The following is a 25,352-nucleotide window of genomic DNA, read 5'->3' on the forward strand; positions in this document are numbered from 1 at the left end:
GTGCTAGCAATCAGCGAGACTCTGTGGGCGTAGGACCCTCTGAGCCAGGTGCGGGATATAATCTCGTGGTACGCCATTTTTTAAGCCCGTCGGAAAAGCGCAGTATTAGGGTGGGAGTGACCCGATTTTCCAGGTGCCATCCATCACCCCTTTCTTTGACTAGGAAAGGGAACTTCCTGACCCCTTGCGCTTCCGGAGTGAGGCAATGCCTCGCCCTGCTTCGGCTCGCGTAGGGTGCGCTGCACCCACTGACCTGCGCCCACTGTCTGGCACTCCCTAGTGAGATGAACCCGTTACCTCAGATGGAAATGCAGAAATCTCCCATCTTCTGGGTTGCTCACACTGGGAGCTGCAGACCGGAGCTGCAGACCTATTCGACCATCTTGGCTGCCACACTCGCATGATCATGTTTGAGTGCAATAGCATGATCATGGCTCACTGCAGCCTTGTGTTCCCTGGGCTCAGTTGATCTTCCCACCTCAGCCTCCCAAGTAGTTAGGACTACAGGTGCACATCACCATGCCTGGCTAATTTTTATACTTTTGTTGAGATTGTATTTTACCATGTTGCTCAGGCTGGTCTCGAATGCCTGGTCTCAAGCAGTCCACCTGCTTCGGCCTCCCAAAGTTCTAAGATTATAGAAATAAGCCACTGTGCCAGGCCTACTGCTGGTTTCTTAAAATATAAAGGTATGTTGTTTATTTGAGATATTTCCTTTTTTTTTTTTTCTTTTTTGACAGGGTCTCACTCTATTGCTCAGGCTGGAGTGCAGATGCAATCATGGCTCACTGCAGCCTCGAACTTCTGGGTCCAAGTGATCTTCCTGCCTCAGCCTCTCTAGTGGCTGGGATTATGGGCACACACCACTACAACTGGCTAATTTTTTTAAAAAAATAGAGATAAGGTCTCACTATGTTGCCCAAGCTGATTTCAAACTCCTGAGCCCAAGTGATCCTCCCACTTTGGCCTCCCAAAATGCTGAAATTATAGGTGTGAGCTACTGCATCTGGCTCTTTTTAATATAGGCATTTATTGCTATCAACTTCCTTCTTAGTACTATATGTCATAAATGTTGTGTTTCCATTTTTGTCTGTCTTGGGGTATTTTTTAAATTCCCTTTTGGTTTCTTCTTCAACCCAATGGTTGTTCAAAAGTGCAGTGTTTATTTTTCATGTATTTGTGAATTTTTCTATTTTTTATGGTTGTTACCAGAGTTGCTGTTGGGTATGGCTCCTATCAGATCCCTTGCAGGATGGTGCTGGTGGCAAAATTGCAGCTAAGTGGGGCAGGAGCCAAGTCCATAAGAGGGCACGAAAGATTCCAGGTCCCCAACCAGGACCGTACCACAGCCACTGGGCCTCAGGCCTGCCTTCTCAAAGTGGCCCTCCTGGGTTTTGATGTCCACCAGTGTTTTGCAGCCTCCTACCTGGATCCTAAGGCTCCTACAAAGGCACATTTGTCCATGGATGATCATCAAATTATTGTTTCTTTAGGGATATGAGAGCTGGGGACCTCTTATTTCACTACTTTGCTGATGTCATTCTTGGTATAATTTATTGAGTCATCATGTTTCACATTTACCGAACAAGGGTGATGAATAAGAAAAGAAACAAAATCAAATTTCAGCTGTCACTTATCTAATTAGTGGGCTTTCCATTGATGTAAAAGAATAGTGAGTTTGGGAAGTTCCTACAAAATCATCATTTATTTTCCTTTTTTAGGACATTGGTTCAGTCCAATATCATATGTTAACGCCTCATGTTCCCTTTGTGACCTTTCTGAACTCACTGAGTTTCCGTTTCTTATAATATCTGGGCATGGGGGTGGGGCGTAAGCAAGCAAAACTGAAATCTCATTCAGACTAGTTCTGCAATAAATTAAGCCCCTTTCTAAATATTTCTAAAGGTGAAGAATTAGAGGTGCCTCCTCTCTCTCTAAGCTGCTTCTAGCTTTTGCTTAGTGACTTCTATCTCATCTCTGTTCCTACTGGCTGTTGTGTTCTCTTGGCATTTTTTTGCCCCAGACATCAATGTAGCTGCTTCCCCCTTCCTCCCCCGCAGATACCACTAATACAGGGCTTTATAGATAAGGAGATTCCCTAAATGTTTGCAGATAACAAAGGGGAAATACTGCACAAGACCAAAGAGTAACAAAGCTGACCATCACTGCCTTGGGTATATTTTACCAACTGGCACCCCAATTCTTGACTACTGGGATCACTAGGGAAAATCCAAAAACTCCAATATTAAATTATTGAGGCTGAGTAATTTCCCTCCTTTTGTCTTGACAAGGACCAGGGAGCTCATTTATAACCAAAAGGGCTATTCAAGCATTTTCTTAAAGAAAAGGATTGTTTTCTTTCTGAAAATAAATTCCCTTTCCCAAAGGCAAAATTGCTTGAAGTGTTTTTAAACAGCGTTTACCCCAATACTTTTTAAATGATCATGTTTTTTAACTAAACATCAATTTATGTGGTCTGACAAGTTTTTTTCAATGTATAACTATATCTATATGAAAAACCTTTCAAGGTTTTAAAATTAAATTAGATCACAGTGCATGCTTAATGGAGCCTCAGTTTTCTCATCTATAAAACTATGGATGCTATGACCTACCTTACAAAACGATTGTGCTATCAATGAGTCACAAAATATGCAAATACTGTAGGCACATAGCCCAGTTTCTGGCACACAGAGCACACTCACTGTGTTAGCTGACCTTATAATGATAAAAGTAAAATTAAAAGAAATTAAGAGTGTCCTGAAATATTTGGGTGGGAATTACCACACCTTACCAAATACATGAGTCTCTCTCCATATGTGGTGTTTCAAAAGTTACTTAGAGGAGAAAAGGGATCTTGACACTTCTTCTTTCCAAAACAATCTTTCTTTTCCCTATATCACCCCTTCATTACTTTAGCATATTATCTTGTGATCAAAGACATAAAAAATTATCTATTAACTTTTTAATTGATACATATTTATGGGGTACATGTGATACTTTGTTATATGCATAGAATGTGTAATGATCCAGTTAGAATATTTGGGGTATCTGTCACCTCAAGTATTTATCATTTTTATGTGTTGAAAACATTTCAAGTCCTCTCTTCTAGTTATTTTGAAATACTTAATACATTGTTGTTAACTACAGTCATCCTACTCTGCTATTGAACATTAAGACTTATTTCTTCAATCTTACTGTATGTTTCTATCCATTAATCAAACTCACCTCCCAAACCCCACCCACACATCCTTCCCAACCTCTGATGTCTATCATTCTACTCTACCTCCGTGAGATCAACATTTTTTAGCTCCCACGTATTAGTGAGAACATGCAATGTTTATCTTTCTGTGCATGGCTTATTTCACTTAACATAGTGACCTCCAGTTCCATCCATGTTGTTGCAAATGACATAAAATCATTCTTTTTTATGGCCAACTTGTATTTCATTGTGTATATATACCACCTTTTCTTCATTCATTCATTCATTGATGGACACTTAGATTGATTTCACATCTTTGCCATTGTGAGTAGTACTGCTTGTTGCATGGGCTTGTAGATATCGTTTTGATATACTGATTTTTTTCCTTTGAAGAAATTTCTAGTAGTAGGGATTACTGAATCATATGGTAGTTCTATTTTTAGTGTTTTGAGATACCTCCATACTGTTTTCCATGGTGGCTGTATTAATTTACATTACCACCAGCAGTGTATGAGTTCCCTATTCTCCACATCTACACCAGCATCTGTTATTTTTTGTCTTGGGGTAATAGCCATTCTGACTTAGGTGAAATGATATTTCATTTTCACTGAGATTTTGATTTGCATTTCACTGTTGATAGTGATGTCGAGCACTTTTTCATAGACCTGTTGACCATTTGTATGGGCTATTTTGAGAAATGTCTATCCATGTCTTTTGCCCACTTCTTAATGGGATTATTTGTTTTTTCTGTTGGTAAGTTGTTTGCATTCCTTGTATATTATGGATATTAGTTCCTTGTCAGATGAAGAGTTTGCAAATATGTTCTCCCATTCAACAGGTTTTCTCTTCACTCTGTTGATTGTTTATTTTGCTGTGCAGAAGCTTTTAGTTTAATTAAGTCCCATTTGTCTGTTTTTGTTTTTGTTGTCTGTGCTTTTGAGGTCTTAGCCATAAAATCTTTGCCTAGACCAACATCCTAAAATGTTTTTTTATATTTTCTTCTAGTAGTTTCATACTTTTCAGTCTTACGTTTATGTCTTTAATCTATCTTGAGTTGACTTTTGTGTATGGTGAGAGATGAGGGCCCAGTTTCATTTTTCTGCAAATGACTATCCAATTTTCCCAGTACCCTGTACTAAACAGACTGTCCTTTCCCCCATGTATGTTCTTGGCATCTTTGTCTCAAATGAGTTGGCTATAAATATGAGGATTTATTTCTAGGTTCTCTATTCTATTCCATTGGTCTATGTGTCTGCTTTTATTACCAATACCATGCCTTTTTGACTACTATAGCCTTGTAATATATTTTGAAGTCAGGTAGTGTGGTGCCTCCAGCTTTTTTCTTTTTGCTCAGAATAGCTTTGCCTATTTGGGCTTTTTTTGGTTCCATATGAATTTTAGGAGTTTTTTTTCTATTTCTGTGAAGAATGCCATTGTTATTTTCCTAGGGATTGCATTAAATCTGTAGATTGCTTTTGCAAGTATGGTTATTTTAATAATATTGATTCTTCCAATCCATGTTCATGGAATATCTTGCTGTTTGGTCATTTGTCTGTGTCCTCTTTAACTTATTTCATCAGTGTTTTGTGGTTTTCCTTGTGGAGTTCTTTCACCTCCTTGGCTAAAGTTATTCTCAGGTTTTTTGTTTGTTTGTTTTTGTTTTTGTTTTTAGCTATTGCAAATGGAATTGCCTTCTTGACTTCTTTCTCAGCTAGCTGAAAATATGTTGATTTTGTATTCTGCAGCTTTACTGAATTTATTGGTCAGTTCTAAGAGTTTTTTGGTGGAATCGTTAGGGTTTTCTAGAAATGAGATTATGTCATCTGCAGAGAGGGATACTTTGACTCCCTCTCTTTCAACATGGATGCCTGGTACTTCTTTCTCTTGACCAGTTGCTCTGGCTAGGACTTCCATTACTGTGTTGAATAGTAGTGGTGAAAATGGGCATCCTATCTTTTTCTAGTTCTTAGAGGAAAGACTCAGTTTTTCCCCATCCAGTATGATATTAGCTGTGGGTTTGTCATTTACAGTCCTAATTTACGGTTGAAGTATGTTCCTTCTAAGTCTTGTTTTTTTTTTGAGAGGTTTTTTTTTTTAATCATGAAGTGATGTTGAATTTTATTAACTGCTTTTTCTGCATCTATTGAGATGACTATATGGTTTTTGTCCTTTATTCTGTTGATGTGATGTATCATGTTTATTGATTTGTGTATGTTGAATCTTTGCATCCCTGGAATAAATCCCATTTGATCATGGTGAATTTTTTTTTTTTGAGATGGAATTTTGCTCTTGTACCCCAGGCCAGAGTGCAATGACACGATCTCAGCTCACTGCAACCTCCGCCTCCTGGGTTCAAGTGCTTCTCCTGCCTCAGCCTCCCAAGTAGCTGGGCTTACAGGCCTGTGCCACCACGCCTGGCTAATTTTTGTATTTTTAGTAGAGATGGGAGTTTCACCATGTTGACCAGGCTGGTCTCGAATTCCTGACTTCAGGTGATCCACCTGCCTCAGCCTCCCAAAGTGCTGAGATTACAGGCGTGAGCCACCACGCCTGGCTGAATGATCTTTTTAATGTGCTACTAAATTTGTTCTGCTAGTATTTTCCTGAGAATTTTTGCATATATGTTCATCAGGGATATTAACCTGTAGTTTTGTAGTTTTGTTGAGTCTTTGTCTAGTTTTGGTACCAGGGTGATGCTGGTCTTTTAGAATGAATTAGGAAGAATTTCTTCCTCTTTAGTTTTTCTGGAATAGTTTGAGGAGAATTGTTGTTAGTTCTTTGTAAGGCTAATAGAATTCAGCAGTGAAGCCATCCTGTCCTGGACTTTTCTTTGTTGGGAGACTTTTTTTTACTGCTTCAATCTCATTACTCATTATTAGTTTGCTCAGTTTTTCTATTTTTCCTGATTCAACCTTGGTAGGTTGTATGTGTCCAGAAATGTATTCGTTTACTCTAGATTTTTCAGTTTGTTAGTGAAAGAGTTTCTTTTGATCTTTTGTATTTCTGTGGTATCACCTCTGATGTTTTCTTTTTTATTTCTGATTTTGTTTACTTGGGTCTTCTCTCTTTTTTTTTCTTGGTTAATCTAGCTAGTGGTTTATAAAATTTATCTTTTCAAAAAGCCAGCTTTTATTTTTTATTATTTATTTATTTATTTTGAGACAGGGTCTCCCTCTGCCACCAAGGCTGGAGTGCAGTGGCACAGTCTTGGTTCACTGCAACTCTGCCTCCTGGGCTCAAGTGATTCTCTCACCTCAGTCTCCCAAGTAGCTGGGACCACAGACATGCACTAATTTTTTGTATTTTTGGTAGAGACGGGGCTTTGTCATGTTGCTCAGGCTGGTCTTGAACTCCTGGGCTTAAGCAATCCTCCCGCCTTGCCCTCCCAAAGTCCTAGGTGTGAGCCACTGCACCCAGGCGAAACCAATTTTTCATTTCATTGATTCTTTGCATTATTTTTTAGTTTCTATTTCTAATTCTGCTATGATCTTTATTATTTCTTCACTTCTACTACTTTGGGGTTTGATTTGTCCTTGCCTTTTAGTTCCCCGAGGTCCATAATTAGATCGTTTATGTGAAATCTTTTTACTTTTTTGATGTAGGTGTTTATTGCTATAAACTTCCCTCTTAGCACTGTTTTTTCTGCATCCCATAGGTTTTGGTATAGTATGTTTCAATTTTCATTTATTTCCACAATTTTAAAAGTTTTCCTCCTTAATTTCTTCCCTGATCAAATGATAATTTAGGAGTATGTTGTTTAATTTGCATGTATTTGTACAGTTTTCAAAGTTCCTCTTGCTATTGATTTCTAGTTACATTCCACTGTGGTCTGAGAAAATACTTATATGATATTTTTTTTAAGTTGTGGAGACCTGTTTTGTGGCCTAACATACGGTCTATCCTAAAGAATGTTCCATGTGCTAATGAGAAGAATGTGCGTTTTGTAGCTGTTAGACGGAATGTTTTATAAATGTCTGTTACATCCATTTAGTCTAATGTGTGGTTCCAATTCAATGTATATTTGTTAATTTTCTGTCTAGATGATCTATCTGATGCTGAGAGTAGGGTGTTCAAGTCCCTATTATTGTTGTATAGGAGTCTGTCTGTCCCCTTAGATCTAATGATATTTGCTTTATATATCTGAGTGCTCCATTTTTGGGTGTGTCTCTGTTTTGAATTGTTATATTCTCTTGCTAAATTGATCCCTTTATTATTATATAATAGATTTCTTTGTTTCTTTTCATTGTTTTTGACCTAAAGTCTGTTGTCTGATGTAAGAATAGCTATTCCTGCTTACTTTTGGTTTCCATTTGCTTGGAATATCTTTGTTCCATTCCTTTACTTTCAGACTTTATGTGTCTTTACATGTGAGGTGAGTTTCTTATAGGCAGCATATAGTTGGGTCATTTTTTAATCCATTCAGTCAGTGTATATCTTTTAACTGTATCATCTATTTATATTCAAGGCTATTTTTGATATGTGATGGCTTATTCCTATCATTTTATTAATTGATTTCTGATTGCTTTATATGTCTTTTATTCTTTTCTTTTTACTTATTGTTTATCCTTGTGATTTTGTGGTTTTCTATAGTGGTAACAATTGAATTCTTTCCCTTCTTTATTTGTGAGTTTCTTCTACTAGTGGGTTTTATACTTTCATTATTTTTCTGATGGTAGATATTATCCTTTGACTTCCAGCTGTAGGACTCCCTTAAGCATTTCTTTTGGGGCTTGTCTAGTGATGATAAGTTCCCTCAGCTTTTGCTTGTTAGGAAAGACTTTATTTCTCCCTCATTTATGAAGAATAAGTTTCCTAGGTATAGTATCTTTGACTGGCAGGTTTATTTTGTTTTGGCACTTGAATATATCATTTTATTATTTCCTGTCCTATAAGGTTTCTGCTGAGAATCTACTGTTTGTCTGAAGCAAGTTCCTCTATAAGTGACTAGATGCTTTCCTCTTGCTGTTTTAAGAATACTCTGTCTTTGACCTTTGACAGTTTGACTATAATGTGCCATGAAGATCTTTTTAAATTGTATCTATTTGAGGATCTCTGAGTTTCCTGTATCTCAATATCTAAATCTCTTGCTAGACTTGGGAAGTTTTCAGTTATTATTTTGTCAAATAGGTCTTCCATCCCTTTCATTTCCTCTTTGCCTTCTGTTTATAGCCAAAGAAATCATATGAAGATTATACTACTGCATGCACCCAGAATCAAAGCCAAAGAGCCCTACCCAATCAACATCATATGTATCTTCAGAAAAAAGTTCTCCTCTACAAAAGCAAATTCAAAGAATTGGAAGAAGTAACTGTTACACAAGACGCACAGACAAAAATGTAGGAACACAAGAAACATGAAAAAGCAAGGCAATATGAAATTCTAAGAAATTCTAAACCAGAAATTTTTTTGATTGCTTTATGGTATTCTGTATGTTACGTAGGCTTTGTTCATTCTTTTTTCTTTATTGTTGTTTGACTGGGTTATTTCAAAAGTCCTGTCTTTAATTCTGACTTTTTTTTTCCTGTTCAATCTGATCTATTCTTGAAATTTTCAAATGTATTTCGCATTTTATTCAATGCAAAGTTTTTCAGTTCTAAAATTTTGTTCTTTTTGATGGTAGCTATCTGTTTTGGTATATTTCTCATTCAGAATCTGAATCACATTCCTGATTTCTTATATTATTTATCTGTGTTTTCTTATACCTCACTGTTTCTTTAATCATATTATTTTGAATTCTTTTTCCAGAATTTCATAAATTTTTTTCATTGAAATCTACTGCTGGAGAATTTTTGTGTTCATTTGGAGGTGTCATATTTCCTTGCTTTTTTCTGTCTCTTGTGTTCTTTACATTATCTGTGCATCTGGTGTAATAGTTACTTCTACCAACTTTTTGTATTTCCTTTTGTAGGGGAGGACTTTTTTCTGAACGTGTGTCTATGGTATTAGCTGGGTAGGGCACTTTGGCTTTGATTCTGAGTGCCTGCAATAGTGTGGTCTTCATATGGTTTATTTGGCTATAAACAGCATTCAGTGGTATTTGTGGCTTAGGGTGCAGTTGTTAATGGAGGCTGTGGTGAAGTTTTGCTGAGGATGGAAACACCAGGTAAATCAGTCCATGGGCTTCAGCAATGGCAGTGGCAAACTGAGCATTCCTGTCCTTGGGCCCTAGGGCAGCATACACTGGCATCAGTGTTCACAGGTTCAGGTGGGTCAATTCTTGGGCCCCTTGAGGACTTGCTCAGGTGCTAGTAGTTGCCATCATGGACCTGGTGGATGGGTGAGTAGGCTTCAGACCCTGAACAGCAAGCATGACATGGGCAATGGCAGTATCAGTGGTGGAACAACTGTCTGGCTCCTGAGCAGCCTGCACTGGTATTGCGGGTGGCTGCAACAGGATGGGTGGGCCAGTCCCCAGGCCCATATGTGGCATGTGTGGGTAGGTGCCAGCTGTAGTGGTAGTGACACATTGGGTGGGCTCAACCTCAAGCCCTCTGGAGGAGTGCTTAGGTATCAATGATGGTGGATGGGGTTAGGTAATCCTCAGGCCCCCGGGAAGCATGCTTGGGCATTGGAGAGGGTGAAGCTGGGCCAGGAGGACCTGGTTGCACATGCAGGTGCTGGCTGTGGTAGGCAGGGGTTGGGTGATTTTCAGGCTCTGGAGGAATGCTTACATGAGTGCAGGTGGCAGCAGCTTCACTGCAGCCCTCCTAGGGAGGGAAGGGTTGCTTTGAGTGGCAGAAGCAGTAGGCAGGTGGCTGGGGAGCATGTATTTCAGCCCCAAGCGGCAGTGGCAGGTGGGAGTGTCTATCCTCAGGGCTCATGAAAATGTGCAGCAGCTTGCACTTCAGCCTTGGTGGTCAAGAGGTTCTTTCGTGGCTAGGATTGCAGGAGTCTGTGTTGGGAATGCAGACCACTGGGGGTCTCTGACTTACCCTTTTCCTGCATTGGAGAGCCTCTCCATACTCCTAGCCAATCAGGCTGCCTTGCTTTCCTCTCCTTCCTTGCTTTAGGTGTTTCCTATCGCTTTCCTGTTGCATTCCAGTGTTCCCTCTTAGATGATCTATTCTAAGTGTGATTATCCACTCACTGTTTCAGTTCTTTGCAGAGGAAGCAAGTACCAGATGCCTCTAGTCAGCCATCTTGAAGCCTTGTGTCTATTAACTTTTATTTTCATTTTCAAACTATAAAATTCCTGTTATTTTCTTAATTCAACATGCTTTTATGAATGTAACAATATAAGCGTTTTAGTTCATATAGAGCCTCATTGTCCCAATCTTTTCTTAACCATTAGCCCTTCTAGCGATGTGGGTTTTTTTTTTTTTTAATGTAACCATTATGACTAGGGAAAAGAATATTACCCAGTAGTTTTCCCCTAAGTTAAACAAGAATTCCTTCTCACCCACTAAATTGAGTCACCCTGCTAAGGCCCCCATGAGCCCCTTTTCACTTTCTGTATTACTAAGCCCTTTGCCCAGCCTGACTAGATGGCAGCTATTTCCTGTGGGTCAGAGGGTTTTTAAGGCCTTTTTTGGAATTCTCCTTTCCTCTGGCTCAGGTATAAATGGTAATACCAAAAGGTAGTAGGTGGTATTTTAAGGAGACTGCTAGTGGACCTTCAAATGCTTTTCATTTCAAAACTTTAATTTTAATAATATTGCTCTCTTAGTTTGGGCTCCCTTAAAATCACAGCCTGAGACTAGACACAAGGACTTGGTGCAGGTGGTTTATTTGGGAGGAGATCCCAAAAAGCAGAGGTGAAAGAAAAGGGAGAGAGTGAGACAGGGAAGAATGAAAAGCCACTGAGTGTGCATCATTAAGGTTGCTGCTTTGGGCAACAGGGGCTCAATTCTTCTGTGACCTTTGGCAAGTGTGCAGAATGCCTTCTAGAATGTTCCCTCCAAAAGAGGAGTGGCTAGACTTGCTTACTGGCTCTCATTCTTCACTGGTTAGAGATGGCTCCTAGGGCGTTACCTCTCCATACTTGCAGGTTGTACTTGCTTGGGGGCTGACTGGGCTCCCAGTTTCAGAGATGGCTTTGAGGCAAAAAAACAGGGAAGCATTTTTCATGTTTCAAGAGGGCATTGTCATGGGAACCCACATTGCACTCTCTACCAGATCTGTGACAAAATCATAGGTGTGCTGAGGGGATTTGTTACAGGGTGCCAAAAGCATCAGCTACGAGCATATTGTCCCTTCTGAATAGACTGTTCCCCATTGTCCCTGTGGGGACACTTCCCCACCAATGGATCACCTGGTCATTGCTGTCCAGTCCACATGACATTGATGGGGAAGGTCACTGCTATTAGCCTCCCTTGACCGATGTCAGGGCTGTAAGGATCACTCTCCTCCATCTTCCTTCCAATCTAGCCCCTTGTCCATATCCTCCCTCTGTGGAGCTCACCTGTGTCTGGAAGGAGTTGTGCAACCTCAAGTGGCCTCAGTGAAAGCTGCAGTTGAAGAGAGCAATTCAGTTGACCACAAAGGAATGTGACAGAGAATCATCCAACGCTGCCTAGAACATCTCTCCTGCTCACCTCACCTGGCATGCTCACATGCAGCCATGTGGTCAGGGCAATACCGAGGCTGAGTTCAGTGCCACCCTGTGCTGCCCCTTGCCGGTGAACTTGTCACACTTGTTTACACATGTTTGCAGGCCTCTTTCTTATGGGCATCAGCAGCTTGTTGAGGACCATTCTATGTCTTCATTTTGTGCTCAGAACCTAATGTAGTGCCTGGACACAAAGGGTTCTCAGCAAACACTTGTGGATACAAAGGAGGGAGGGAGGGAGGGAAGAGGGAAGTCGGTTGCTAGGAGATAAAATGATTTGCTTATAGCACAGTTGCCAAAAATAAGTCACAAGTGGGGACTTCCCAGAACTAACCGTTCAGTGCAATACTTAGCTGAAATCTATTGCAAAATGCAGTACTTACTTAGGCACTTACTTTTGTCTTTATTGTTTTTTAAGAAAGAGATGCTCCAAAGGTCAGTGACTCAGACCACTAGGTGACTTGGCTGTGGTTTCCTATGAGTCAAGCCTACCAGACAGCAGAGGACAGAGGTGAACAGGAAACTGGGCCAGAGAAAAACCAGAGAAACAGAGAGTCAACACAGACGTCAAGGAGGCTTCCGCCCAGCTCTCTCAGGCCAAAGGGGCAGACAAACCCGTGAACTCCCAGATATTCATGTCCAAGTGAATGCAGCTGTACGAACTTCAGCTTGAAAACTTCTCTCAAATAGCAGGTGGGGAGAACAGGTAGTAAATGCCTGGGGTTGTGGCCGCTTCCTTCCCCAGCAGAGCTCTGCCCCAATGAGAACACAGGAAGGGTAGATAAGAGAGCAAAGTGGGCAGTTTTTCTTATTTATTTGTTTGGGTAAAGGAAAAACAAAACAAGATGTGAACACGCATATCTTCACAAACTGTAAAATTTATCTCTGTCCTCTATTCCCTGCATCCTTCTCCCTACTCTAACATCTTAACAATCCTAATATTTGCCTATTGTTACACAAAATGTACGCCAGTAGATATCAACATACCAATTAAAAAAAAACGAAAAAAATACTTTGCTGTTTTTCCTTGAAAGCACAATGACATGAGGCATCTTTGGAGAGAAGAAGCTGCCACAATCCGATGCCTCCTCGTACCTGCTACTAGCTGTGTAGGCTTGTCTGATCTAGCCCCCTGGATGTGAACAAACTAGAGCAACAGGGAGAAGCAGAGATGCAAAAGAGTTAATCATACAAATTGCTGAGTGTGCACAGGAAAAACATACTACATTTGTAATTGTGTTTACAGTGTACAAAGCACTCTCCCATATTCCTCATAATCTAACAACAATCCTGAAATCATCACTATTTACGATGCAGAAACTGAAGGAACAATAAATGGCATGTCCTATGCCATACAGCTAATACCAGGCAGATCTTGGCATTGAACTAGAGCTGTCTGAGCCTAGACCAAATATTGTTTCCAGGATTCTGCAGCAAACTCTACCAACTAGGTACCTACAGCCTCCCCTAACCTGCCTTCGGTCTCCTGAGCAGAAGTGTTTATACCTCAGTCCCAGCATGCAATAACCGTAACAGGTAATAAGCACCTTGGAGAAACACCAACTGCATCCAAAAGAGAGCCTGGTTCTGATAATTCTGTTTCACTAACTTCTAGAAGACAGAGAATGAACAGCTTAGGTGAACATTTAGATGAAATTAGAAAAAAAAATGTTAAGGGAGTTGAGTATTTGTTAAAGGTCCTTGAACATGCAATTCTAAAAGAAAAGGAAGCTCAGAGAAAGACACTGGGATCTTCCAGAACTGGGAAGAGCCTAGGACCTGAGATACAAAGATCTAGAACCAGGGAAAGCAGAAAACTTCACCTACAAAGTTCCATGTGCTGCACTGGGCCCTCAGCCCACACACATGCCTAATTCTACATCTTGGCTCTCCAGTCTTCTTCACAGACAGCGCTTGGTGCCTGGGGCCTTTCCAAGAAGAAAGGTGTTATAGTGTAAGGCTCTGGTGCCAGTCATGTTGGACTGGCCTTGCTAACACAAGACTGTTGTAGAGAAGAAGAGGAGGTCTGGTGTGCCCCAGGGACCACCCCTTGGCATAGGCCACTGTAGACGCAGCATGAACATGCTGGGGTCAGCAGGGCAGCCAGGGCTCTATTAAAATTCTAGGCCAGTTGGCACAAAAAAGAGAATAAGAATAGGGTGTCAGTTGGAGCCCTACACACTGAGCTGGCCTGTGGTTTTAAATATCGTGCAAATGCTGACAAGTCTCGAAGGTATATTTTCAGCCCAGACCTCACTTCCTAGCTCTAGACTCACTAGATGATATCACACATTTGGATATATCATATTATCTCAAACTTAATTTGTTTAAAATGAAACCTATAACCCATTCCTCTCACCGAGCATCCACCAGTTGCTCAGGTGAGAATCTGGAATTTGTCCCTGAGTTTCTCTCTCCTTCTCACTCCCACAGTTAGTCCATCACCGTGTCCTATTATGCTTCCAAATTCATTTACCTCTTTTCACCTCCAAGGCCATCTCCCTAGACCCAGCCCCCACCTCCTCCTACCTGAATCCTTGAAATCACATCCTTACCAGCCTTCCGGCTTCTATTGTGCTCTGACAAGAAAGCCAGAATGGCCTTGCCAAAGCTCAAAGCAGACTGTCCTTCCTTGGGTCTAAATCCTCCAATGGCTTCAGAACAGAATCAAAACTCTAATGGGGCCAGCAAATCCCTGCGGGCTCCAGCTCCAGCTGTCACCAGCCTCACTTCAAACTCCTTTTTCCCTACTTACATTCCAGCCCCTTCTTCCCCTGTGACACCAAACCCTTTCTGACTTCAAGGTCTCTACACTGTTGTACCCTCTCCCTGGAATTCCTCCTCTCCTACCTTTTGTGGGGCTATTTCCTTCTTATCCATCCAGTCTCAGCATAAGTGCCATCTCCTCAGACCTTCCCAGAGGCCTTTCCTCACCATCAAAAGATGATCCTTCCTGTTATCCTGTCTCATTGAATCCAGCTGTTTTATTTCATAGCAAACATCATAATTTGCTATTATATGCTGATTTGGTTTTCTTCTTTAATATCTGACCCTCCCTCTAGACTGCAAGCTTCATGAGGGGTGAGACCATGTCTGTTCTATTTATCCCTGTATCCTGAGAGCCCAGCACAGGGCCTCGTATATAATAAGGGGTCAATAATAGTTATTGAGTTAATAAATAAATACATTTAAAATAAATACATAAAATAAAAATAATGAAAACTAATTTGTTTCTTGTTCTCTCAAGAGAGCTTCTGCCCAGACCACACCCCACCCCTGCAACCCTTGATCTTTCTCAGTCCACTGTTGGCTCTGAGCAGTCCACACAGTTTAATGCTACATCAGGATGAGTACGCAAAGAGAAGCAAGAAAATCCCTCCCTTGAACATGAGCCACAGCCCTTCCCATCATTCCTTCCTTCCCTCCTTTATTAATTTAATAGATGAGCCCATATGTAATAAACATAATCATAACATAATAATAACTACATTTATGGAGCTTCTACAATTTGTTGGGCACAGTCCTTTATCTAGATTTTCTTATTTGATAATCTTTGGAGCCCTATAATGCAGTTACTTGTATTTGTTCTACTTTACAAAGAAGAAAATCAAGGCTTGGTGAATTAGGTTACCTTCTCTAGGTCAGATATTAGTAACTGGCAGAGCCAGGATATCTGTTTGGTACAGTAAGTCTAAGGCTTCAACCAATAAACCACACCACTTTCCAAATGTTCACTGCTATTCAATGTACTTTAAGATTCATCCAACAACTATTGAGCCCCCACAGATAAACCAAGCATTGTGCAAAGTGTTTGTGTGCATCTTCCTATCTTATTGCCACAACAACCTTGTAAGATGGGTCTTTATTATTCTCATTTTTGCAGAAAGGGGACTGAGATCAGGATTGTTGAAGCACCTTCATATGGTTCTTTGTGGAATATCAGGATTTGATGCAGCTCCCTCCCTCTGAAGCCATACTCTCTGCATTCTTGCATATTTTGCTTCTCTTCTCAGAGAAAGAAGCAGGCAGAACCAGGACTTGTGCATGCACACACTATGATCAGTGGAGTATAGCCTATTGGATTAAACCACTCCCAGAGAAGCCCTATTGATCTTATACCTCAAGAGTGGCTCGGGAAAGCCATGGGACAGGGGAGAGGCTTGAGTTTTGAAGTAGGACAGATGTCCGTTTAATTCTTTATCCCTCACTAACTGGGTGGCCTTGTGCAATCTACCCAATTCTCTGAGCCTCTGGCACCACTGAGAAAAAGGGTCCTGTACCAACATCATGGAGATTCTGTAGGAATTAACTAAGATCACAGAAAGAAAGCCCTTAATGCGAGGTCAGCACATGGTAGGTTCTTGGTAACCGGCTTGGTATTTTTAGCTTCCTGCCCACTGGGTTCTCAGGCCCAGGAGAGGAGACACTATAATTAGGCTATTCTGCTGTGGAATTCCTCAGAGCCTCATGCCTGTCTTTTTTCCTCCAATTGTCTCTCCCTTCCTTTCCCACCCACAATTTGAAACTGACTTTTCTGTCTGCAGGAAATGTGTTAAATGAGACAATGTTTGTGTTAGCGCCTTGTTTCATGAGCTTTGCTGGCATGTTCCTCTCTTCTGGTCCTTGGGGAATGTCTGAAATGTGGTCAGGTGCGCCTGCTGACAGTCTCACAGGCACGACGCACAGTTAGGAGAAGAGAATTTCATTAGCAGAAAATAATATGACAGGGATGTATTTATATGAGCACAGATTTTAGAGATACAGGTTTGGGTCCACATCCCAGCATTGTTACTGGCTGTGAGCCTGAGGCTGTGTTATGTACTACCTCCAAATGTCAGTCTCCTCGTCCACAAAACTTCTAGGATTCTTATTTTCATTAGAATAATGAGAGACAATGTTTTGAAACATCTAGGACAATGTTAGACCAGTTGTAGGTGTTTAACATTGTACGTGGATTATTTTTAGAGTATCTAACAGTGCTTGGTATCTAAAACAGGGATTGATAAATTACAGCTGGCCCACAGGCCAAATCCAGCCTACCACTTGTTTTCATAAACAAAGTTTTATTGAGACACAGCCACACCCACTTGGTTACATATTATGGCTGATCAGTGGAGGCTATGGTTGCTTTCTCACTACAAGAGAAGAGTGAAGTAGCTGCAACAGAGACCACGTGGCCTGCAAAGCCTAAAGTTTTTACTATCTAGCCCTTTGCAAAAAAGATTTGCTGATCCCTGATCTAAAACATGCTCTATGAATGCCTGGCACACAGCTGATGCTCAATAAATATTGGTTGAATGGAATATGCCTCTACCTCCTTATACCAGACAGGAAGTCAGTTGGATGTGGAAATTCTCTTCAACAAACTCACCCCAAATCATAGATGCCCTAACTTACATGCTTGGTTGAAATTGTGAGTATTTCTTATTATCATTTTTGGGCAGATGCTCACTGAGCTCACACTCAGTCACTTCCACATTTCCTGGACACCCTGTATAGAGTTACCTTGATATCTCCTGGATCTCCAGGTGCCTGGGCCTCCTTGGCTCATGCCCACAGTTCAAATCTCAGAGCCTTAAAGGAAGAGACAAGAGAGAAAACACTGGACTTTCTGTTTTTAGCATGCCACCTTTCCTTTTCCTTAATATCTTTCTTTTCTCTCTGGCGTCTCCTCTCTAGCCTCTTCTCTCATCAGCCAAAAATTCTTTTCAGGCTTCTCTTTGAGTTTCTCTTCATCATCCATCCTGACCACCCTTCCTCCAGCATTGATTCCTGCTGGTGACAAGCTGTTGGTTTGGTTTAAAAAAAAAAAATCACCTTTGGTAATTGGGGGAAACCTTTAAAAATTTGCTGCCTTCCTTACTATCAACCCCTTCCTATTCTTCCTGAAGCAAGAAGGCTGCTGTAGACCCCAGGGTACAATGACCACGATAGGCACAGAGACCTCTCAGCAGTTGCCCATTTAGTGTATCAATGGGATTAAGTTCATCTACATTAACAGAGTACCAAAATAATCATGGCTTACCCATGATAGAAGCCTATTTTCCTATCATGGTTAAAGCCTGGAGATGGGCAATCTAGGGCTGCTCTGCCCTACAAAGACCTCAGGAATCCAAGTTTTCTCACCTTGCCACGTTTCCTCCCTAGAATGGAGACCCTTGTCTTCACAGTACAAGATGGTGGTTGAAGTTTCAGCCACCACAGTCTCATTCTAGATAGCAGAATAAAGAAAGGAATGGAGACAAGGTGCAAATTGCATGCATCCATTTTTTTAAGGATGGTTCCCAGCAGCTGCCACCTGACACATCTGCTAATATCTCCTAGGTCACATGGGCACACTCAGTTGTAAGGAAATCTGGGAAGTAGAGCATTTATTCAAGTGGTCATATGCCCAGATGAAAATGGTGGGAGGGAGGTATTCAGTAAGAAAGATGGGGAGAACAAATAAGATAGTGGGGGAAAAGACAGTGAGTGTGCATCCCTTAGGATTGTTTTTAGCTACAAATAACCAAAGCCCAGTCTTCAGTAGCTTAATCCATTAGGATTTTTGTTCTTTAATTATAGAGAAGTCCAGAGATAGGGAGTCCAAGGTCTGACTTAGCAGTTCACTGTGTCATGCAGGACCCAGACTTTCACCTTGCCTCTTCCATATGCTGGCTTTACTTCCACAGGCAGTGGTCTTACAGGGCAAGACGGCTGCTGCAACTTCAGGAAACATATCCTCATGCTCTGCTCCAAAGGTAGGAGGGAAAAGGCAGTGGAAAAGGGTTTCTGCTTCTGATGCTCTTTTTTTTTCCCCATCCTTCTCCCCCAACCCAGGAAGTCCCTAGACGTTTCCCCTTCCATCTCCTTTGACAGCCTTTCTCTCATGCCCACCCCAGACCAATCACTAGCAAAAGGGAATGAGATTGCCAAGACTTGCTTGCATGACCTGCTGCCCGAACAAAACAGGACTCGGTTAGTAAGAGAGAAAAAAGGAAAACACTTTTTAGTAGAAATACAATAGAATGATCCACTGTTATCTGAGAGGGGGACAAACAGTAATTTTTTTCCCTCCTGCCTTTAGGTGCATAATAATTAGATTCTTCGTGGATAAAAGGCAAGGAGTTAATTGAATTTGGATCATATTCTCAACCTTCTTACAGCTGCTATTTGTTATCAACATGTTTTGTATCATTACAAAATCCAGAAGAAGTAAAATCTGCACCATAAATCTTTAGGCTTGAGCTTTCAGTTCAGTACTCTGCAGCGTGCTGCCTCCACAATGCTCACAGCTATTTTCAGGTGAATGTTCTGTACAGAAAAAGCAACTTCCTAAAAATAATTTTGCAGTGGCAATCATGTATCTCCTAGAAATGATACACCTTCTTTTGTTGATGGGGTCTGCAATCCTATGGCAGGGCCATCAACCCCAACCAGACTGCTGGTGATAATGAGATTAAATTCCTCTCCATTGAAAATAGTTCTCACCATTACATCAGAGCCCAAACAGCATTTTGTGATGTTACCCATCAGAGTATGACATTTGAAAAGCAGCAATGGACAAACCACATCTGGATTTGCAGTGTAGACATGGATACTTAGCATGACATTTAACTCGGCTCACTCAGATTTCATCCACATTCTTCCCTTAGACTGAAGAAAAGGGAAAATGATATCCCTTAGGTCTCCACCATGTGGTAGGTGTTTTATACGTATTGTTTATTAAGGCCCCATAATCGTAAATAAAGTTGGTCTTGTTTCTGCCTGCAACTTGCCTGCAACTCCCCTCACAGGCTGGACAAGAATGGAACTGGGTGGCTTAGGGCTTGGGGTCTGGGACTCTGAACTCCAGAATTGGAAAGAGCCAAAGGGTGTACACAAGACAAATTCCTCAATGAACACAAAGAGTCCTGGCCTAAGAACCCAACAGTACTGCAGAGAAAGGGAAGAAATCATAGAAAAACTCAATAGATGAGTTTGCATAAACAAAGCTCAAGGGTACATACAGTGTAAGATTAGCCTTAAAGGTTTAGTTGGGGAAACAATTACTACCATTTCACAGGGGGCATCTGAGGTTCATGGAGGCCAAATACATTACCCCAGATAACACCACTAGCAGGTGGCAGCGCTGGTATCTGAACTCTGGCTTAGTACTGGTCCCAAATTACTACTCTTTCCACTGTACCACACAACTTCTCTAAATGTGAGAGGAGCCACCTGGATGGGATACTGAAAGACCTTGCTCCTGATGCTGAACCCTTAAGGCTGCAGGCGTAGCCACTACCTGAGCAGTGGAAATATAACTCCTTGTCCCCTCTTGGTCCTGGCTCATTTCCTTGCCTTCATTGTCCCTGGCATCCCATAGTTGAGTCCTCTGATTCTTCCACCTACAAGATCAAGGTTAGTCTCAGCAGAGACAGGAAGCATAACTGTAAGACTCTAACTCTCTAGAATTGTATTAAAAACTGTATTCTGAGGATTCTGTTAGCGGCAAGTTACCAAAACCAAACTTGATCCAACGTGGATTAAAATAGTGATTCATTGGAAACACACTGGGGTAGTCAAAGCAAGGGAAGGGCAACAGGGCAGCTGGACCTCAGGGACACCTGGACTCAGGGACACAATCACTACAGCATTCTCCTTCCCTCTCCTGTCATACAACTTCTAAAATCACTGGAATCTATAAAGTGCTGTGTTTTTGTATGCTAATGTTAACTAACAGTTTCAGGGAGGGGCTGGTCATCCAAGACAGAAGCAGGTTTAGAGGGTTGGGACTTTTAGCCACACCTCCAACCTCCTGGGAGAGGAGAGAGGCTGAAGGTTAAGTTAATCCCCAATGGCCAATGGTTTAGTCAATCATGCCTACATAATGAAGTGTCCATAAAACCCCAAGAGGACAGGATTCCGAGGGCTTCCGGATAGGTGAGCACTTGTAGGTTCCTAAAAGGTGTGTGCCCAGGGAGGGCGTGGAAGCTCCATGCCCCTCCCCCCATACCTTGTCCTATGCATCTCTTCATCTATGTCCTTTGTTATGTCTTTTATAATAAACTGGAGTAAACCTAAGTAAGTATTTTCCTGAGTTCTGTGACTTGCTCCAGCAAATTAATAGAACCCAAAGAAGGGGGTCACAGGAACCTCAACTTGAAGTTGGTTGTTCAGAAGTTCCAGAGGCCCAGACTTGCTACGAGTGTCTGAAGAAGGGATGGGTGCATCTGACACTCCAGGTAGATAGTGTCGGAATTGAATTGAACACCCAGCTGGTATCCGCTGCTTGGTGTGTGGGGAAAAACCTCCACACATTTGGTCACAGAAGTTTTCTGTGTTGACGATTGTTGTGGTGTGAGAGCAGAGGAAAAATGTGGTTTGAGGGTTTTTCCTGAACAATTTAGACTCTGAAATGATGTCACCTCCCTGATTCTAAATATTGGTAATTTTAACAAATATCATTTGGTTTAATTGATGTTTTCTATTATTTTTCTCTTTTCTATTTCACAGATTTCCATTCTGATATTTATGATACTCTTTCTTCTGCTTACTTTGAGTTTAATTTGCTCTTTTTTTTCTAGTTTCTTATGATGGAAGCTAAGCTCACCTTTTCAAATATAGGCATTTACTGCTATTAATTTTTCTCCAATCACTGCTTTAGTGGCCTCCCACAAATTTTGATATGTTAGTTTTTAAATTTTCACTCAACTCAAAATACATTCTAATTTCTCTTTTTGATCTCTTTGAGTTATTTAGGAGTGTGTTACTTAGTTTCCAAATATTTGCAGATTTTCCAGATGTCTGTCTGTTATTGATTTCTAATTTAATATTTTGTAATCAGAAAACACTTTGTATGCTTCAAAACTTTGCAAATTTAACAAAACCTGTCTTATGGCCCAGAATAATATTGTCCATCTTGGTAGTCTCTATAGGCACTTGAAAAAAAATGTGTGTATTCTGGTTGTTGAGTAGAATATTCTATATATGTCAGTTAGGTTAAGTTGGTTGGTTGTGTTGTTCAACTCTCTTATATTCTTACTAATTTTCTGTTTGTTTTGTCAATTACTGAGAGAGAATGTTACTGAGATTTCTATTATTGTAAATTGTGTCTTCTATATCCCTGAAATTCTGTTTTTGCTTCTTGTGCTTGAAGCTCTATTATAAGGTATATAAACATTTAGGTTTATGAATGACTTTCATGAATGACTTCTTTATCATTATGATATTCTTTGCTCTAAAATTTACTTTGTCTAACATTTAATACAGCCACTCACTCCAGCCTTTTTTTTCTTTTTCTTTTTTTTTTTTTTTTTGGTAATGTCAGCACAGTATTCACTAGTGTTGTTTGGCTAGTGTTAGCACAACTTTTTTCCATCTTTTTACTTTTAGCCTATTCATATCTTTATATTTAAAATGCATTTATTTTAAATGGCATTTAGCTGTGACTTGCTCTTTTTATCCAATCTGACAACCTCTATTTTATTTTATTTATTTAGTTAGTTATTTTTGAGACAGTCTTTCTCTGTTGCCCAGGCTGGAGTGCAGTGACGTGATCTCAGCTCACTGCAACCTCCACCTCCCGGGTTCAAGCAATTCTCACGCATCAGCCTCCCAAGTAGCTGGGATTACAGGCGCCTGCCACCACACCTGGCTAATTTTTGTATTTTTAGTAGAGATGGGCTTTCATCATGTTGGGCAGGCTGGTCTTGAACTCTTGACCTCAGGTGACTCACCTGCCTTGGCCTCCCAAAGTGCTGGGATTATAAGCATGGGCCACCATGCCCAGCCCGACAATGTCTATTTTAATGGGAGTATTTAGATCATTTACATTTAATTGGTTATTGTTATTAATTGTAAGTCTGTCATCTTACTGTTGGTTTTTTAAATTTATTTATCCCATCTGTTCTTTGTTTCCTTTCCTTCATATTCTGACATTTATTAGGGGAAGGATTCTTTTTTTTATGCTTTCACTTTATCTTCTTTTTTATTTATTAGGTATAACTCTGTTTTATTATTTTAGAGTTTATATTTTACTTCTTTAAGTGATCATAGTCTACCTTCAGGTAATATGATGCTCACTTCAAGTAAAGTGTAAGAACTGTACAATCATCCACTTCAATTTATTCCTTGCTGGCCTTTATGCTAATGTTGTCGTACATTTTCCAGGGTAGCTGGTAGAAATAGGCACTATTCCCAGCCTGCGCGGGCACAAGGCACTTTTGCCTCTAATCTGTTCAGGTAGTTCTTTCCTTAGTCTTGGGTAGTTTTCCTACACTTTTGCACTGATCCACAGTTTGGTGAATATTCAAGAGGGACCCTCCACAGATCTCTGGGGCTTTCCTTTTATGCAGCTCTCCCCTGTTTTTAGTCCCGTATCCTGCAAACTCTAGCTATCTTGGTCTCCCTAAACTCTCAGCTTTATCTCCTCAACTCAAGGAGACCTTCAGGTTCCATCGTTGTTCTTCTTCCTGCTCTGTGGCTGGAAACCCTCTCAAGATGTAAGCTGGGACTCACCTCATTTGCCTTCTGACTCTCAGGGACCACTGCTTTTCATTGCTTAAGGTCCAGTATCTTGTAAACCATTACTTCTTATACTTCGTCTAAGACTTCCTAAAACTTCGTTTGTTGTTTGTTTGCTTATTTTGGTTTATTCTGTCAGGAGGGTAAATCTCGTCTCTGTTATTTTATTTGACTGAAAGCAGAAGTCTAGTATCCAAATGGAAATTTTTTGAAGGAAAAAATACCATCATTAAAATTAAAAGCTGAAGGTTGTGTTAGAGATCAGGTTATTTGTGGCTGAATAGAGAATTTGTTGTCTAGAGGATAAATCTAAGGAGAATACCTACAGGCAGCCCAGAAACATAAAAATGCTGACAACGTGAAGGAGAGGTAAAGGATTTTGAGGACAAAATGAGAAAGTGCAACATTTATCTAAAAGGAGTTCCAGAGAAAAAAAATAAAGAGGAAATGAAATATTCGAAAAAGAGAAAAAATTAAGATTGACAAAGAACATGAATTCTCAGACTGGAAAAGTTTACAAGCAGAATAAATAAATCTACACCTAACACATTGTTGCAAAACTACAGAGTACCAAAAACAAAGAAAACCACCCTAGCAACCAGAGAAGGAAGATGGAGTGTTCACAGAAATATTTATTCTGATGATAGCCTTTTCCACAACAATAGATTGGTGTCATATGATAGAATAACCAAGGGAAAATCCATTCTTAATCTGAAAGTCAGCTATAAAAGTAATCTATACTCAGCTAAGTATCAGTCAAGAGTAAGAGCAAAATAATGACATTTTTAAACAAAACATAGGAGAATCCGCCACTCAGAGATTTTTCCCTGAATTAACCAGAGAGACACTTTAGGATGAGGAAAATTAAATCCAGAAGGGAAATGTAAGATACAATAGAATTGGAATTAATACGACAAAATGTAAACTTCTGTTTGATATTGGTAGTGGTTGTAAGGGTGTCTAACATACTTCCTATGCTGTTTGTATGTTTAAAATATTTTAATGTAAAAGGAAAAGAACTCTGGAGAAGATGATATAATGAAAGCCCATCTAGGACAGTGTTACTGCGTAAAATGCTTAAAGTAAAGTAAGATGAAGACAGAAAATTACCCATAGTTTTCCAAGATGAAACCCACTGGTAAGCTTGACAAGAGCAGACCTATGACTTTGGCCTATGAGTGAAGTCAATGAGAAGTCAGGTAGAAGTGCTGTGACTGATCTTCCATGCATTGCTGCCTGACCAGAATTACAAGGGCTTCTCTGTGTGATATACAGATGTAAGTTGACCCACCACTCCTCATGTCCCAAATTTAGCAACTTATCTACAGCTAGTCTGTGGCTCCTCTTTGCCTAAAAGACAAAGCTTGAACTTCATAGTCTAACACACAAAGTGTGTTAGCTCCTGCCCACCTTGGGAGAGTTAATGTAGACCCACATGTCTAAGAAAAAGTTAATAGAGACCCATATATCTAAGAGTTAATGGAGACCCAGATGTCTACATTAATCTCCTGGGTTGGAAATGCAGTTGCCTGCTCAAACTTATCTAGGTTTTTTGAATTTCTGGACACTCGCATTAGCTCCCATCTTGTCTTTCCCAGCTCTTCCATCTCTTCAGCCATCCTGGGTCTCCTGGTATTAGATCTAACTCAACCTATGATCCATTATATTCAATCCTATTTTCTTTTCTAGATAGAACCTGCCTTCCTGCTTATGATAGCTTTCCCACACAGACTGTATTCCACATATATTTTGTGTTTTCTAGAGCCCCAAACCTGATGTTCTTGGCATATTTACATTCTGGTGCAACCAAAACCCCAACAAAAACAGAATTCTCCCTTCAGTATCTCTTCTGGCTGTTTGTTCTGCCTATTCTTAAATATCTGCCATAACAGGGAGCTCCATAACTTTAAAGTATCAGGCTTCACTCAGGACAACTCTGATTGGTAAAATTAATATTTTACCTCTTACCATTAATAAATCGTGTCTTTAGGAGGAAGAAGTGGGTTTTCACTCCAGGGAGAAGGTGTGGTGGTAGCACCAGCCATAGTCCTGGGGACCAGTACAGATCACTGGTTCTCAACCAGGAGTGATTTCTCTCCCATGGGACACTTGGCAATG

At 40.5% G+C, this 25,352-nt stretch overlaps 4 annotated features.

The window, feature by feature from the left end:
- Positions 1,786 to 1,975: an enhancer, noted in NCBI's record as "active region_19721". NCBI's record gives its function as "activates an Ori minimal core promoter by ATAC-STARR-seq in GM12878 lymphoblastoid cells {active_cell/tissue: GM12878}" and the evidence as "EXISTENCE:reporter gene assay evidence [ECO:0000049][PMID:35858748]".
- Positions 9,141 to 9,641: an enhancer, noted in NCBI's record as "H3K4me1 hESC enhancer chr3:41010264-41010764 (GRCh37/hg19 assembly coordinates)". NCBI's record gives its function as "activates a minimal SCP1, AML or CMV promoter by ChIP-STARR-seq in naive H9 embryonic stem cells {active_cell/tissue: H9 hESC(naive)}" and the evidence as "EXISTENCE:reporter gene assay evidence [ECO:0000049][PMID:30033119]".
- Positions 11,480 to 12,679: an enhancer, noted in NCBI's record as "CDK7 strongly-dependent group 2 enhancer chr3:41012603-41013802 (GRCh37/hg19 assembly coordinates)". NCBI's record gives its function as "activates an origin of replication core promoter dependent on BRD2, BRD4, P300/CBP, MED14 and CDK7 cofactors, with strong dependence on CDK7, by STARR-seq in HCT116 cells {active_cell/tissue: HCT116}" and the evidence as "EXISTENCE:reporter gene assay evidence [ECO:0000049][PMID:35650434]".
- Positions 11,972 to 12,021: a silencer, noted in NCBI's record as "silent region_14235". NCBI's record gives its function as "represses an Ori minimal core promoter by ATAC-STARR-seq in GM12878 lymphoblastoid cells {active_cell/tissue: GM12878}" and the evidence as "EXISTENCE:reporter gene assay evidence [ECO:0000049][PMID:35858748]".

This window comes from Homo sapiens, chromosome 3 (assembly GCF_000001405.40).
Source record: "Homo sapiens chromosome 3, GRCh38.p14 Primary Assembly".
NCBI lineage: Eukaryota > Metazoa > Chordata > Mammalia > Primates > Hominidae > Homo > Homo sapiens.